This window comes from Homo sapiens, chromosome 8, assembly GCF_000001405.40.
Source record: "Homo sapiens chromosome 8, GRCh38.p14 Primary Assembly".
In the NCBI taxonomy this organism is placed as follows: Eukaryota; Metazoa; Chordata; class Mammalia; order Primates; family Hominidae; genus Homo; species Homo sapiens.
In genome coordinates this window covers 9,323,884-9,341,632 of record NC_000008.11, presented here as the reverse complement: position 1 = coordinate 9,341,632, position 17,749 = coordinate 9,323,884, and the positions used below count along the sequence as shown (strand labels likewise).

The following is a 17,749-nucleotide window of genomic DNA, read 5'->3' as shown; positions in this document are numbered from 1 at the left end:
AATGGGGTTAGGACTTTAAGACAGGAATTCTCAGTGGGGGGATATAATTCAATGGATAACATCTGTCCCCACTCTGATTGAAGGGTGGGTGGGATGGCAAGGTCATCTCCACACGTGATTGGAGACTGTCAAGACAGAAAGATCATGAGTTCATGGAAACATGCACAGCGTTTTTGAGACAGTGCTGATCTGTGTTTATCTTAAAACCTTTAAAACAAACTCCATCTTCTTTCTGTCTTTTAAACTACTTTGCATCAAAAATGCTCAATGAACATGCACCAGAATTAATGCCTCTCAGGAATCACAGGACGTCTTAGCACGATGGGCACAATCAGAACCTCTGAGTCCTTCTCTGTGGCTGGCCGCTGATACTCCAGCCTCACACCCACAGCCTCCCTCAGAAGCTATTGACATTTGTTTCAAAACTAATTGTGCTGAGGTTTGGGACATGAAATGGAAAAAGACCGCTTCACATTGCAATCCATCTTGGAATGAAATGGCTATTGTGGCACCAGAAGAAAGTTTTTCCATTAAGTCAAAGGCAAACCTCAATTTGGAGGACAAAAAGTCCAGCACCTTGAGATGAGGGTCTCTGCCTTACAGAACCATCACTGCCTTTTATAGCACTATAGTCATCACGACACTCTGTCCCTTGCACCCATAAAACTCTCCTTTCTCCCTCCCCTTCCCCAAACCGACAATTCTCCATTATCCATGAGCATTTTAACCACAGCAACATTCTACTCTCAGCCTGGCTTGACCCTCCTCTTCTACAAGAGCTGTGACTCCTCCTCTGCCACTTGGGGCCATCCCTTCCTCTAAACTGCAACTGTATTTAAAATTTGGACCCCTCAGTCAACACCCAGCAGGAAATCTTGTAGGACACCAATTTTTCTGCACATTTATGTCTGATTTCTCCTGGGAACATGCTAGAAATGCTGAATCTTCGGCTCCACCTCAGGCTTACTGAAGCAAATTCTCTATCTCAAGATGCCCTGTGAGTGAAATGGATGCTGAATTATAGAAGTGCCACACAGTATCTCTCAGAGTTAGGGCTGAGTTCAGGCCCTCAAAAGCAATTGTCAAGCTGGTGAATGCCTCTCTCTTATCTCTCAGGGACTTATTCTGTCCTCCAGTGGCTGACTACTATTAGTGGTCATAGAATGTAGACTACTATTAGCATTAATTATTAATATCACTAGACCCACTCAGTTCTCTGCAGAACAAACAATATTCAGATATGACACACAGGATGGTGAATCTGAATTTCTAGATCAAACATAAATGCTTTTTTGGTTTTTTTTTTCCTGCTGTCTGGGATTCCCTGTGTCATGATTCTAATAATTCTCGCAGGATTATCATGATCATCAGTTAACTGGAACTTTTGATAGTTTTAAAATTGAAGATCAGAAAATGTTAACCTTGAAAGGGAACTTAAAGTTCATTGAGATTAACCTCCTTACTTGACAGATGAGGAAACCGAGTTATGGTCTACTAATAGCCTCAGACGAGTTCACCAGTCCTGGGAGTTTCCAGTAGGGACAAGAATCTACAATTTGGACTCCAGGTGTGAGCATTTTCTATACCACACTGTACTAATTTGTGTTACACGGGGCTGGTTAGTAGATTGCATAACGTGTTTGGCCTGGTCACTTCTCAATTTCTAACCAAGCAGAGGGGACTGGACAGTGAATGAAAGTTTCTGGAAGGGTGGAGTAGCTTCTTTATATTCTAGCCTCTAAACTCTTCTCAGAGCTCGCTGGTGTAGACTGGGAAGGAGAGTACATGAAGTGGGAGTTCTCATTATTGTTTTCTTTATGTAATAAAATCGTTACTTAAGGTAGCGGTCTGCCCCCGATCCCTGGTACAAGGGACCTGTGCAAGGGAGTGAATTCTGTCTAGACATCCAGACATGCGGAGGCCCCCGTCACGTCCAGTTTCACTTCATTCTTTGCAAAATAACCAGACTTCCAACTTGATGTTGCCTCTCCATCTTCTGTGTGTGTTTACAATGCCAAAGAACCATCAGCAGCAGAATCAAGTTCCCAGGTTCTAATTAGTTCATTCATTCAACTAAATGAGGTCAGGGGTGTTAACTACGTGGCTTCTGGAGGGCAAGGGCTATGGGGTCTTCCTGAGGGAGATTGGCACTGTCTTCTCCAAGACCATAGCTCCACAGAGGCAACTTCACCCACCATCCCCACCACCTCCACCCTCACCTATACCCGCCTGTGCCCAGCCTGAGCTTGGCCCTTTGCATCTGTTATTAATGCTTAGCACTGGCTCTTTTTCCTGATATGCAGCCTGAGGCCAGAGGCTGAACCATTCGGGGTGGAAAAGAAATCATAAGGTCTGTAGCCTGAGAAGCACATGGAAGGCAGAACAGGCTATTTCAAGGTTGACCTCAAGGTGGCCCAGGAAAATCTATGCAACATTTACATTGTACATATTTACATATGCTTCATATATACTGTGTAATATATTTTTACATTTAAATAAAAAGATAGGTTGAATGTAGATTAGCTGGAGCTCATGCACACATAGAAACATACATATCTCATAAATATCTCATACATATATCTACACATATATCCCATAGATGTCTCATAGGTATATTTATGCTATTGTTTTCTTTATGTAATAAAGAAAATATAGATATATGAGGTATCTATGGGATATGTGTGTAGATATATGTAGATCTCTCATATCTATATGTGTGTAAGTATATGTAGATCTCGTATCTATGATATGAGAGCTATCATAGATCTCTGTAGATATATGTAGATCTCTCATGTCTATGATAGGTAGTTATATAATCTCATATATATGAGATTTCATATATATGAGATATTCATGAGATGAGTGTAGATATATGTACATATGTCTCATATTGCATGCATATATCATATATGTAAATACATACATACATAAATAACCTGTATATGTCTATGAATACACATAATGTCTGCTACGCTGGGTCTAATATGCTCATATTCCCTAGGGATATTTTTCCTGGGCTGTGTTTTCCTTTGCATGCCCACAGCCTAGAAGTTTGAAGCGCTTGTCAGGAGGAGGATTCATTTTCCCAGAGGACAGTAGTAACTGAAAAAAAATGAAATAAAATGAATACTACCTGTAGTGAGCAGGTCTGTCCATGAGGTGGTGGTGTTAGTATAATGGAAGCAGAAGGGAATAAGGTCAGGGCAGAAAGAGGCCCTCTGTTGGATTGATGGTGGAAGGATAAATCCATGCCCCTCCGTGAACTCCCACCCCGAAGCCTGACAGGTGCCTGGCTACTGGCTGCCACGGTGTAGGAAATTCGCACACGTAGCTTCTCAGCAGCTCCTAGACCAGCTGGCCTGGAGGCTTGGAAGCAGTCCAGGCAGAGGGGACACAGGATAAACCATCAGGAGCAACAGCTCTATCAAGTGGACTTGAGTAGAATGTTCTCATGGCACTTGGACACCCCTCACATTCTCCGGCCTGTAGGTGGTTTTCTTTGCCGCCCACTGAGGGCTGCAAGAAGCATTCCAGCCAACACACAAAGCCTGGCGCTGAGGCTCCTCCAGCTCAGCCTCCTGGGCAAGCTTTTCTGCCCTTTCCACACACATCTGCAAGCTCCTGCTGTTGGAATCCATAGAGATAGGACCCGGGCCAACAAAACATCTCTGCATATTGAAAGCATTCCCAAACACCACTTCTTTTGCAAGCAATGGCTGCTAAAGGCTGGACCACACCAAAGTAGATACTCCCTGTCTGCATGGTCTTTGAAGGGAGTAGAGATGCTATGAAAACAATTCACCACTGAAGCTTTCCCTGGTGCTAATCTTGCTTTCTAGTTTCTGAAGTTACATTTTTTATGTTTTTTTAAAAAAAGGTACCCTGTGTCTTCACCAGAGAGAAGGGAGAAGGAACCTTGACTGATTCTCTGTGGCAGGCACAAGATCTATCTTATCACTTTCAGTCCATTTAGCAACCCTGCTCTCTGAGGACTTCACAGACGGGGAAGCTGGGCTCTGAAGAGTGATGGAATTCGTCTGTAGTGTGCTCTGTAGTGGGCTCTGAAGGGTGATGGAACTCACATGTGTCAGCCACAGACCCAGATCTCTCTGGTTTCCTTTGTTTTGTTGACTACTTTGTTGATATTAAACAACTGGCTTTCCAATGAAAAGTAGTAACAATCATAGGATAACACCCTTAACATCTGTGTGTCCCTCTACAGTATACAAGATGCCTTTCCATTGCTGGGGCCCGGCCCAGCTTGGAGATCGGCCCCCTCTGCTCTGCTTCTCCCTGGCTCCACCTTGCCAGCTCCAGACTGCGCGTGTCCCCAGCGGAGCTGGTTCTCACTCCCTTTTGCAGACATGCTTCCTTGCTGGGCGACTTCACTGGAAGACTGTCTACTGATTCAGGGTGACAGGCTGTGCCAACGCCCCAGCCCTTGTGGGGCTCATAAATCCTGGGATGGTAGGCGCTAGAGAGGTGCACCTCAATGACAGCAAATTTGGCCTGTCTCTCGTTTTTACCCGGGGCTAGCCTTGACTGAGGCTGAGCAAAGTGTCAGTGATGAAGGACTTGTCAACACTGCCTGGCTTCCTTCCTCACTTGCCATCAAAGGTGGACTTTTGTCCAAAGCTCTTTAATTTGGGAATTAGGTCTTATGTGTAACTGCCAAGTTAAATTGGACCCAAGAGTGAATTTGGATCTGCATTGAAGAGGGAGTGGAAATAAGTAAGTTCTGGGGTGCCCTAAGCTTGGCGCATAATCATAAGAATAAAGACTGATGCTTTGAGCTCTTGCTGCAGGCCAGCTGTGTGCTAAGTGCTTCTTCACTCTGTCAGCTTCTTACTTCACAATCCTGTCAGGTACAGGCTATTCGTGCCCAGAGAAATGAGACGCTAAGAGATGATATGATTTGCCCAAGATCCCACAGCTAGCAATGGAGGCATTGGCATTTGAATTTGTATAGTCTGTACTGCCAGAATGGCCGCTGACCTCTCCAAGGCCATGTGGGAGGTTTTCGATGAGCCCTGAAGCTCTGTGGAGTTTCTGGCATCTGGGGGAGGCCTCTGTTTACATCCAAGCCTTGGGAGAAGCCCTTGGGAGGACCACATGGGGTGACAGCGCTGTGTTGGTGGCAGCCTGTCATGGGTCCTGAAGCCCAGCTTATTTTCTCTCTTTCTTTTCCTCCCTCCCAAATCCTTTCTGCCTTGCCTGCCATCCAGCAAATCAATTCCAATTGATTCCAAATGATAACATTTTATTGGAGTTTTGTTTATTTGAAGATCAATAGTGACAAGAATGTGGCAGTCTCCACCCTGAAAGACCATATTCAAGCACGCTTTTTTATCTTGACTTCAAGTCTCAACCTGGACTCCAGCCTACAGCCTCTGGTAGGCAGACTATCTTGTGCTCACCCTTGTCTTGGCAGCACAATCACATGCCCGTTTTGTGCGTTTGCCTTTTGGGCCCCAGTATACAAGAAATGGGCTTAATTGAAACTGTAAGTGAATTTGTCTGGAACACAGAAAACACTCAACAGCACATCTCCCTCGGACAGACACTGTCAGTCTAATCAGAGGCCTTGAATTATTAAAGCTCTCTAGCCACTTAGAGCTGCAGGTCACCAAGGCACCGAACACACTTGCCTGAGTGGCACTGGATTAGGAAGCAGTGGGCTCACAGCCAGCTGTTACTGTGGACCCCCCAAATTTGTTTGATCACCACTCTTCTTAGTCACGAAATCCCACCCTCCTTTCCCAGGCCTGATCCTGCCGACAGAGCCCTGAACTGGCTCAGGTCCTGGCTTCTGGTCCTACCTCTGGAGTTGACTCTGGGGGTTTTGGCCAATCCTTTTTCTTCTTGGTACCTCCATATTCCCACCTGTATTGTGTGGCTACAAATATTTGCTTAGGATCATTTTAGCAGCTGTGAAGTGTCCTGGGAACTCTGAATGAAAGGCGCTCTATTCCAGCTTATGCACCAAGTGATGACTCTGGCCCTGTCCACACGGCAGGGCTCTGCAGGAGACAGACGACCCATTCATCCTTCATACAGTCCTAATTTTATTCCAGTGCCCCACTGGGGACTCAGGCAGCAGGGCTTGTCAGAGAACTGAGCAGTCTTCACACTTTCAAAGTCCCTTCTATTTGGTAGGGTTGCTTTTTTTCCTTTCCTTTTTTTCTTTTTTTTAACCACTGCATATTAGCAAAGGTAAAATCTACCATGCAAGAAAAGGAACAATCATGAAAGGAGAAAGGCCTTCTCAAGGGAGGGCTGCTTATTAGTCCTTTGGAAGGTCAAGAAGGCCGTTTGCCTGAGGCCAGGATTTATACTGTTAGCATGCTAGGCACATCTGGGGCCCACCCTGCGTACATATCAGGGTGCCATGTTTACATGTATTTTTACATATGTGTCTTGTTTTAGGGTGCCCACGGTGCAAGAGAGCGGAGCTGAGAATCAATAGGATAATATGTCCAGGGCCTGCTAGTGATGAATGTGGGTGTTTTGGCCCATTTGGGCTGCCACAACAAAGTACCCCATAGACTGGGTGACATGCAAACAACAGAAGTTTATTTCTCCCAGTTCTGGAGCCTGGAAGTCCAAGATCAAAGTGTCAGCATGGTCGGGTTCTGTTGAGGGCCCTTTCCAGATTGCACACTGCAGACTTCTTGTATCCTCATGTGGTGGAGTGAGGGCGAGAGAGCTATCTGGGGTTCTGTTGATAAGAGCACCAATCCTATTCCTGAGAACTCCACCCTCATTACCTCCCAATGGCTTTACCTCCTAATCCTAACACATAGTAGATTAGGGTTTCAACATATGAATTTTGGAAGGACACTAACATTCAGTCCATTGCACTGAGTATTTTTGCTTCTTCAAAATCACTCCACTGTTGCAACCTATAATTGTGCATCTGTCTTGAGGCTACAATAGCATGTCTTAGAGCTGGAATCTCCAGCTTCCCGGAATCCTGGGCCCCTCTACCGACCTCTCTAACCCTTCCCCTGTAGGAGCACTTACTTACAGAACATTGAGTCTCTGCTCACTCTCTCCTGAATCCATTTCTGCTCCTTCTTCTTTGAACTCCTCACTAACCCCAGGGCCCAGGCATCCCATCCAGATATCATCCCCAGTTGCAGATATCTGAGAAACTTTGCAGTCACTCTCTCCTTCAAGGCTCAAGTCTTCACTCCCAATAGGTCTTCAATCACCATGGTTTCCAATCTCACTCTTATTCTGAGTATGCAGAGCATGGCTTCCCATTGCTTTCAAAGGGAAGGGCAAATGTCTTATGCAAATTTACTGTATTAGTTTGTTCTCATGCTGCTAAGAAAGACATATCTGAGACTGGGTAATTTATAAGGGAAAAGAGGTTTAATGGACTCACAGTTCTACATGGGTGGGAGGCCTCACAATCATGGCAGAAGGAGAAGGAGAAGCAAAGGTATGTCTTACATGGTGGCAGGCAAGAGAGAAGTGCCGAGCAAAAGGGGGGAAAACCCCTTATAAAACTTATAAAACCATCAGATCTCGTGAAAACTCGCTCACTGTCATGAGAACAGCAGCATGGGGTAATCACCCCCATGATTCAATTATCTCCCACTGGGTCCCTCCCACAACAGTGGGAATTATGGGAACTACAATTCAAGATGAGATTTGGGTGGGGACACAGCCAAACCATATCACTTACCAAGGCCTTACATGATCTAGTCTGTGTCTTCCTGTTTGACTTAATTTTTCCTCTTATTCACCTCTTTGCTCATCAAATCCAGCCACATGATTCTTTTTCCCATCCTTCAGACTCATCCAGGTTCATTCCCACTTTAGAGTTTTGTACTTGTGCTGGTCTCTCTACCCAGTATACTCTGCCCACCAACATTGGCATGCTGGCTTCTTCTTGTCATTCAGATCTCTGTTTAAACATCATATTCCCAGAGCTAATTCCTTGAGCATTTTGTCTAAAATAGCCCTTCCCTCTCAGTCACTTACATCTTATAAAGCTAATTGTCTTCAGACATTTAAGATCATTGACAATGACTGATGCTATATGTGCTATCTCTTTTCCTCCAATAGTAGAATATGGATTCTATGAGTAGAAACCTTGTCTGACATTTTCCCTGCTATATCCCTAACACCATGGAATGTATATGGCACTTGACGGTTGCTCTATAAATACTTGTTGGATGACTCAATGAGTGAACAAACTAGAAATATTTGTTATGGACTATAAGAGGTTGACAGTGAACTTCACCTTGCAAACCTCATAGTCTTTAGTATTGGCACTAGAAGTCTCATCTTGATCCCATGCTCAACTGGTAGAAGGTCATAGTGTTGGGTCTGGGCTGGGTTGCAGTGTCCCACTCACCTAGGCTTTGTGGAGCTTAGCTGTGGCTAGTAGAACAAGGTACCAAGGGTCAGCCAAGAAGCAATCTCCAAACTTATCAGAAAGTCCAACCTGGCCACTACTTCTTGTAGGATAGGCAAAGTGGGAAGACCTTGGTATGAAGCATAGGATATAAACTGGGGAAGCCAAACCAGAGTTCAAGTCTGGAGGAATTCCCAGAGCTATGGGAACGTGACTGTAGAAGGCCCCTATAGTTTTGGGTGAGCTGGTGAAGGAGCAGTTAGACTTACTTGGTTTAGGCACACAATGATCTTCAGTCCTTCTCTTGAAGGCATGAGCTGGCTGCAGTTGCACTTTGCCCTACTGGAAAGGATCTGATGCCAGAGACTGACAATGGGTCAAGGGCTTGGTGGAGAGTATTCACTGCTGATTAAGTCTTTCTTGATACTGAATAGAGAGTAGATTTAGTGGAGGGGAAGGGAAGACCACAGGAAGACCACCAAAGAGATTATTCTACAGTCCAGTAAAGAGAGGACAAGAGCCAGTGATGGCAGAAGGGAGGAAGAGAAAGAGATTCATGCAAGAGAATTACTCATGCAAAATGTGCAAAATTTAAATTCAATCAGATTAGACCAATGGAAAAAGAAAAAGAAGGATGCCATGAAGACTAGGAGGATCTGAGCTTGCTCAGCATTGTAGAGGGTGTTACGGGCATTGATTAAGTTAAAGACAGCAAGGGAGAGGCGTGTGAGGGCAGAGAAATGTGCTTTACCTCTGGGCAGGCTGATGTGACAAGCTCATTGAGCCTCCAGAGAGATTTTTTCCAAAAGTAGCTGGAAATATAGGCCTACAGCACAAAAGCCCTAGGAGCCAGGTGAACGCCTGGAAGAATAGAAGAAATTATATTATTTAAAGTAAAATGGGCCAGGCGTGGTGGCTTATGCCTGTAATCCCAGCACTTTGGGAAGCCAAGGTGGGCGGATCACTTGAGATCAGGAGTTCAAGACCAGCCTGGACAACATGGGGAGACCCGTATCTCTACTAAAAATACAAAAATTAGCCGGGTGTGGCGTGCCTGTAATCCCAGCTACTCCAGAGGCCAAGGCAGCAGAATCACTTGAACTAGGGAGGTGGCGGTTGCAGTGAGCCAAGATGGTACCACTGCACTCCAGTGTGAGCAACAGAGCGAGACTCTGTCTCTAAACAAAACAAAATAAAACAAGCAAACAAACAAACAAAGTAAAATGGGGCTTTTGAAAGTGACCGAGAATTCTAGTAGAGGGAGGGGAAGCCAGGAGGACATTTTTATCTTGAATAAAAAGTAATGCTGATGGAGGGAAAGCTTGAAGCTGGAGGATGGTTTCTTATTCAAACGCAGTTTGGGATTGAATTACTTAAAATGTATCATGTGATTTCAGAAATCAGCTGTCTTTTTGCTTTACAAAGAGAACTCAGGAGTGTCTTTAGAGTCAGAAGCCTAGGAACCAAAACCCCAAAGGGGCCAGACCAGGAAAACCTAGCTCTCCCCAGTACAAAGGGGAAAGCGCTCCCGTTCACTGCTGCTTTCTGCACCACAACCGCTTGTGAAGAGCACTTTGTGCGAGTAATTCTGAAAACGTCACACTAAAAAAAGAATTACATGTTATTAATCATAAAAGCGAAAGCAAAAACAAACGAAGGTTTCTCCTTGCCTTCGAATGAAGACAACCAAAAGCATCAGAGGTGAAAACAAGACAGACACGACATGAAGATTGAAAACCAGATTATACCCTAGGGAGCACGCATAAAATTAAGAAAATAATTACTGACTATGAGACGTAGATCACAGAGCAAAAGGACTCCTAAAAGAACCTCCCACCCACAATAGAAACAAACAACAACTTAAAAACATGAAGAAAGTGGGCCGGACGCAGTGGCTCATTCCTATAATCCCAGCACTTTGGAAGGCTGAGGCAGGCGGATCACTTGAGCTCAGGAGTTTGAGACCAGCCTGGGCAACATCTCTATCAAAAATACAAAGTTAGCCTGGTGTGGTGGCGGATGCCTGTAATCCCAGCTACTCAGGAGGCTGAGGCAGGAGAATCGCTTGAACCCAGGAGATGGAGTTTGCAGTGAGCCGAGATCACGCCACTGCACTCCAGCCTAGGCAACAGAGTGAGACTCTGTCTCAAAAATAAAATGAATAGAATAGAACAGAACAGAACAGAACAGAACAGAACAGAACAGAACAGAATAGAATAGAATAGAATAGAGATATTTCATAAGGCGGTGTTACATTAATGAGAGAATATTATCAATTTAGCCTTGGTCCTTCTCCCTGAGCTCTTACAATAAGCCCCAGGTCAGGGTTACAGACATCAAGCAAAGGGAATACTAAGGAGGTCCAGGGATAAGACTACGAGTCAGGGGTGGTAATAAAAAGATGGTCATGTGGGGTGAGGCAGGTGGGAAGTAGGGCGGGTCTTAGCTAAGAACATCAGAGGAAGCTTCTCAGACCACACCCAAGGCTACAGGGTAAGGATCGACCGCAGAGACGGGGAGCTGCTGGCTTTCCGCGGCTGCAGCTCCTGGTGCTGCCTCTTGGACTAGTTCCCACATTACAGGTTACCTACAGCTTCCCCCAGAAATGAACATTTTCCTTTTGAAATATAGGACACAGACTCTACTATTTCTTGAGTATCTTGGAGGGCCTCCAGGCAATGTGGACCCGGAAACAGGAGATTTGGTTGTCAAATCAACCTTGAGAAATGCTGGATTCAAATAACCTTCTTTGAATTCTCAGTGACCATTGAATTCTCAGTATATGAAGGGCTCTCCAAAGTCCTGCTTTGATTTATTTATTTATTTATTTATTTATTTATTTATTTATTTATTTATTTGAGACAGAATCTTGCTCTGTCACCCAGGTTGGAGTACAGTGGCGCGATCTCGGCTCACTGCAGCCTCTGCTTCTTGGGTTCAAGTGTGTCTTCTGCCTCAGCCTCCCATGTAGCTGGGATTACAGACACCAGCACACCTGGCTAATTTTTGTATTTTTAGTAGAGATGGGGTTTCACTATGTTTGCCATTCTGGTCTTGAACTCCTGACCTCAAGTGATCCGCCCACAATCGGCCTTCCAAAATGCTGGGATTACAGGTGTGAGCCACCACGCCCAGGCAAAAGTCCTGCTTCCACAAAACACACTTTATCTTCACTGCCTTAGGGTTATAATTTGGAACAATCACAATATTGGTCACCAAATTGGAGTTGGCTGATGGGATTGGCTGTGCCCATCTCTTCTTACTTCCATATTTCTGCTTTATAGTAAAGTTGAAGGGAGAAACTTTCTCAGAGGCGGGTATCTGCGCAATATGCATTCTGGCTAGATCCTCTCGGCACACCCATGGAAAGCTACAATACAAATTATCAATCTATTTGTAGAACACTCTGTGTGTTACAAAGAACTTTACTACTATCTATCATAGTATGATAAATATGGTGAATATGTAAATATAGTAAATCTATGTGCATAAAGTAAATGTGGAATATGACAGGAGTTGGAGGTAGCTGAGTTAATTGTATTCTAGGAGTGCAATAAGACAAGCTTGGTTCCTGCAAGGTGTATGTCAGTTGGTTCCAGCAAGGTGAAGATGTGGGATAATTAGATCCCACTGTCTACAGCAGTTTCCACGAGTTGAAAGCATACCTACTGCTTGCCCTGGGGGCGTTTTCCCCACCATCCCTTCTCAAGGTTCATTTCTAATTACTTGAATACCCCTAGCGTGCTGACTGAACAGGTTAATTTAAATGGGAAGACCTAAAACTCTTGTTTTTCAGCTCCTTGCCGAGGTACCTGATGATTATCCCATCGCCAACAGGGGCAAGTCCAAATGCCTTTACGTCCCTTCACGATGTCATCTCCCATCACTTTCCCTGCACGCTGTGTTCCAGCTCCTCGGAACGACCTCCCATTTCCTGAATAGGTCACACTTCCTCCGCTTCTCACCCCTCAACATACCCACCCTGCATTCTGTTCCTGGCTGTCCTTCTTTCCTTTCTCTACCTGCAAAACCCTCCCCAGCTCCCCAAGGCAGAGCTAGTTGCTTCTTCCCTTGGATCCCATGGCCCTTCCTACCTATGGGCCTCCCGTAGTGCCTAATGGCTTGTAAATGATGTCCAGGGAACATTCATTGAGGGGATGGTTCATTTAGGGACTGACTTTTACTGTAGTGTCTCTGAATTTGACGTTAAGACACAGGAAAGCATGCCACCAACTGCCAGCAGTCAATCAGGATCAGTGGGAAGAGGTAGGGGCCAGAGCTGGTGCTGGCTGGCTGGGGGTGGTTGGGACAGGCCTAGGTAAGTGGCTGCCAAGTATAATCTCTTTAGGGGAAGAGATATGATATGGTTTGGAGGTTTGTCCCCTTCAAATCTGATGTTGACATGTGACCCCAGTGTTGGAGGTGGGGCCTAGCAGGAGGTGTTTGGATCATGGGGGTGGACCCCTCATGAATGGCTTGGTTCCCTTGGTGATGAGTGAGTTCTCACTCTATTAGTTATTGATATCTGATGGTTAACAAGAACCTGACACCTCCCTCTCTCTCTCACTCTCACTGTGTGACACATCTGCTCCCCCTTCACTTTCTGCCATTAGTAAAAGCTTCCGGAGGCCTCCCCCAAAACAGATGCTGGCACCACGCTTCTTGCACAGTCTGAAGAACCATGAGCCAAAATAAGCCTCTTTTCTGTATGAACTACCTAGTCCTGGGTATTTCTTTTTAGCAATGCAAAATGGACTAATACAAGGCATACATGTAAATTTTTTAAAAATGCTTTTCTAAAGAAACATAGATTTAATGAGGATAAGGAACAATGGCCTGACAGGAAGAATGGATTCAAAGTAAGCCACCTTGAATAGTAGAGGGAAGAAGAGATGGGGCAAAGGACTGTGCCAGGGCTCTGCCTGCTGGCAGGGCAGAGATCTCACTGCGGTGCCAGGGGTGCTCCTTGTCTCAGAGTAAGGGCAGGGCTGAGGAGAAGGCTGAAGTCCCTCCCCACACCTTCAGCCTCCATGGTAAAGGCTGGGACTTGTAGCCAGGTTCTCCTGGAAGAGAGGTAAAGGCAGTACACGATTTGCTACTGGTTTTTCACCTATTTTACCAATCATTTCCTCTTCATGTTTAACCTTCTGTTATTTGACTAAAGTCTCTAAGAAAAGCTTAGTTCCTTCTGAGCTCAGTCCACTCTTGTTATCTTTTCTCAAAATTTCTGAACTCAAAGGGGCAGAAACCAGGTTTCTAGACATTCAGCTCAGCCAGGCAAACAGCCTCTAGTAATTCCAGGCAAGTGCAAAGACAAGCAGCAAATTGGGCAAACAGTAGAGATTGCACCTGTTTTCTTTTTGAGAGTATCCTTATCAGAGAGCCAGAACTAGTCATTAAATTGTGTTTGTTTGCTAACGTTGCTTTACCTTGCTGAGCTAAAAGTGCCCCCATGGACAAAAAAGATCACAGACCACTGCGATTGACAGGGACTGCAGAGTGTATTTAGTTCCTCCCACCTCATTTCACAGGGTGGAAATTGATAGGGGAAAGGGGGAATTCAAATTACAACAGACTTGATAGAATTCTTTTGCTGTTTTCCTCTAGACAGCTCAGGCTCAGTTTAAGATCCTTTTAAAAAGCCCCCATTTTCTGATCTGCTCCTTCAGAAACAGGGCAGCAAATATAAGGATAGGAACAGAAGTGAGAAAGGCACTCCGAAGCAACGGACACAAAAGAAGAGCGATTGATGGACCTGCCCGAGCTTGGGTAGATAATTCCACTCTGAACCAATCCTGGCATAGAGGAAAGACCATAAAATATTGATCCATGAACAGATATATCGAATTACCCATTCCTTCTTAAAATATACTAGTGGACAGACGCAGCGATACAGGTACATATCTTAACTGCTAATCCCATAAACGTGATTGAGCATCCACTCTGTATTAAATCCACAGAGATTAAAGTAAGGATATGCATATGTATAATGAGAAGAACAAACATTTATTGAGAGCTACAATGTTCCAGGGGCTGGACCAAGTTATATCCTTAATAGTAACTACACTTAACCTTAATAGTAAATACAATTGTTTGTCCATTTTATAGGTAAGGAAACTGAGAGTAGGTTGATGAAGTAGCGTGCCTGAGGTCACACAGCTGACAGGTGACAGTGCTGAGATTCTGAATTAGTTTAGCCTGAGTTCCTAATCATTCTGCCCCAGTGACCTCCATGAGACTAGATCTCTGGAACCTGCAGTAAAATGGGTGGCGCATACCCAAACGGAGTGCCAGTACCACGTGATAAGAACTTCAAATGGGACAAGGGAAGATGGGATAAAGAACAGGGAGATTTGCTATATGATACAAAATTACAGCTGGATAGGAGGCGGAAGGTCTAGTGTTCTATAGCACTGTAGGATGACTGTAGTTAATAGAAACATATAGTTTCAAAGAGCTAGAAGGAGGATCTTGAAAATTTCTAACACAAAGAAATGATAATGTTTGATGTGACAGATATGCTAATTATCCCGATCTGATCACCATACCTTCTATGTATCAAAAGATCGCTATGCACCCCATAAATTTGTACAATTATTATTTGTCAATTAAATAAATAAAAGAAAAAGGATTCCAAATGGCAAAAAGGAAAGAAAGAATTCACAGGGAAGGTAACGCTAGAGCAGACGCTTGAAGAATGAGGGAGGAGACCAGGTGAGGTGGCTCATGCCTGTAATCCTAACACTTACGGAGTCTGAGGTGAGAGGATTACGTGAGCCAAGGGGATCGAGACCAGCCTGGGTAACATAGCAAGACTCCGTCTCTATTTTTAATACATATTTATATTATAAAATTTAAAAAAAAAAGAGAGAGAATGAGGGAGGAGATGTCCATTTGGAAAGGAGTGGAGGAGTGGAAACGCGCCTTAGGAATGGGGTTGAACTAAATAGGAACATCGTACCTGATGCTGTAGAAGAACCGTTCGAATGGCGCCAGGGTCAGACAAAACGTACCCCGGGGGCTCAGATGGTGGCCTAAATCCAGCTGAAGAGAGAGACCAACCTCCATGCAGTCGGGATGAAGAGTTGTAGACCACAAGGTGGAAATGGCTGTTGGCCATCGGAGCTCAACCTTCATGGAGACTGGTGCGCCACTGCCCTCTCAGGTCACCAGCTGGATGCTGCCCTGGAGTAGACTAGCTGGGAGGGTTATGCAGGGTAGGGACGCAGCCAAATGGAGCTGCCAAGAACCAGAGAAATTACTGAAGATGGTGTCAAGTCCTCTGAAACAGTCTCCCTTTCCATAGCCCCTGGCTTCATCCAGCCTCACCCTTGGAGATCAGCACGTGCTGCAGGCAGGGGATCTGCAAGAAACGCAAGAGGTATCAAAGAAAAGGCTGGTTCCACGTGATATTGATGCCCAAGCATCTAGCAAAGTCAGCTTTCTGTTCTTTGCTCTGTGCTTGGTTAGGCAAGTCCTCGAGTTTGAAAGACCAAAAATCTTTCAATGTCCGTGGCTAACACATGGACATCAGTCACCCTGAGTGGCCCTAGCACCTCCGCTAATACTCGCTGTCCTCCTTAGAGAGGCCTCCCTTTTCTCTTTTGCACTCCTTGGATTTTCTCTTTTTCCATTTCCCACCCTAATCCTCTCTGAGGTTCCCTGTTCCCTTTCCTCTTTCCTCCATCAGTCTCTGGTGGACCCGCCTCATGGCTGGCAGCTCTGGGGCCAGGCAGTTGCCAGTTCTGGTTCTCCAGGCCCACTGTGGAAGAGCAGCATCCCCTTGTGATGACAGACTACCTGCATCTAGATCCCCCAGAGAGCTGGGAAAATGCAGAGCCCTGGGCCCACCTCCAATCTGCTGAAATGGCTCGCTGAACTGGAAGGTATGCCTCCAACAAGTCTTCCGGATCAGTTTTTGCTCACTAAGGTTTCAGACCCTCTGCTCTGGAGATAAAGGCCCTAGAAACTTTGGTCTCTCATCTCTCTCTCTCTGCTTCCCCTATTAACCCTTCTCCAAAAAATGGAGAAGCTAAGTTGAAGGCACAGCATTGAGCTTTTCCTTTCCCTTCTGTCTTCTGTCTCGACGTCTTTCTCCTCTACTGGATGGTGAATCCCTAAGGATGGGAGTTGTGTTCTACTCAGCTCTGGAACCCTGAAGTTCCCATGATGTCTGGGTCACCATGGACACTTAGAAATGTTTGTGGAATGAATAAATTGTTGACGCAGGGAACACTCTCTCTCCCTTCCTCCCCGCTCCCTTCTTTTCCTCCTCCTCCCCTTTTCTGTTCCTCTTTCTCTTGGGATCCCCTCGGCCTTGGGCACAAAACCCAAATGTTTTAAGAGATTGTTAATGTTTAAAGGGAGACAGGCGGGCACAGGCAGGGCAATGGCAGGTTGCTCAATGGACAAACAAATCCACCTTCTTCTGTTGTCTCCTAAGCCAACAGGAAGCAGCCAGAAGACGGTCAGACGGTCACTCACCCGGCAAGGGCTCGGGACAGCTGTCCTGCCTGCCCCACGCAGCAGTTGCATAACCTTGCTGCAATAATCAGAGCTATAAATAGTCTTTACTGAGAAGCCCCAATCTGGGATTGGACAGGCCCGAGGAGTGGCCTTTATTTGTTGCCCCTTCAAACCAGTGGGGAAAAACGGTTTTTGAAAGTCTCACTTATAGACTCTAAGCCTGGGGCAAAGTATTCCATGTTCTCCTTTGAGTTTAGCCTGTGGTCTCATTCTGTAACTGCATTTGGAGTCTCCATGCGGCTCTTTCTCCTTCTCCTTACTGTGACAATACGTGACCCAGTTCCACTGATGGAACGATGCTAACAAAGATAATGATGATCATTCTTTAGTAGATCTTCTTTTCCACCCGCTCCTATCACTCCTATTCTTGTCTCGTCTTTTGTCTCTTGTGTATGGCCCTTTCAGTGCCTTGCCCATTGATTGGTGACTCTATCTCCATCTAGTCTATAAGACCAATTCTTCTGAACACTTGTTTTTTTCATGTTTTCCCCCGGTTCAGAGTCTTTCAGTGGCTTCCACTTACTTACAACAGCAGCCTACAATTCTCAAAGGCACCTCCTATTCTTAATGTATGTGTTTTGTTTGTTTGTTTGAGACAGAGTCTTGCTCTGTTGCTCAGGCTGGAGCACAGTGGAGGCGATCTCGGCTCGCTGCAACCTCCGCCTCCTGGGTTCCGGTGATTCTGCTGCCTCAGCCTCTCAAGTAGCTGGGACTACAGGTGTACGCCACCATGCCTGGCTAATTTTTGTATTTTTTAGTAGAGACAGGGTTTCACCGTATTGGCCAGGCTGACCTTTAACTCCTGACCTCATGATCCACCCGCCTTGGCCTCCCAAAGTGCTGCGATCACAGGTG

General features: G+C 45.4%; 1 long non-coding RNA gene across 1 annotated transcript, besides 1 other annotated feature; it reads right to left on the bottom strand.

Annotated features, from left to right (window-relative positions):
• Positions 2,979 to 3,912: an enhancer, noted in NCBI's record as "H3K4me1 hESC enhancer chr8:9195231-9196164 (GRCh37/hg19 assembly coordinates)". NCBI's record gives its function as "activates a minimal SCP1, AML or CMV promoter by ChIP-STARR-seq in primed H9 embryonic stem cells {active_cell/tissue: H9 hESC(primed)}" and the evidence as "EXISTENCE:reporter gene assay evidence [ECO:0000049][PMID:30033119]".
• LOC157273 (uncharacterized) lies at positions 6,553 to 16,582 on the bottom strand. The gene is made up of 3 exons (NR_040039.1): positions 16,220 to 16,582; positions 15,330 to 15,731; positions 6,553 to 9,229 (listed from the first exon to the last, which is right to left on the bottom strand). It is a non-coding gene; the product is annotated as an uncharacterized LOC157273 (long non-coding RNA).
• Positions 16,583 to 17,749: the final 1,167 nt, after the last annotated feature.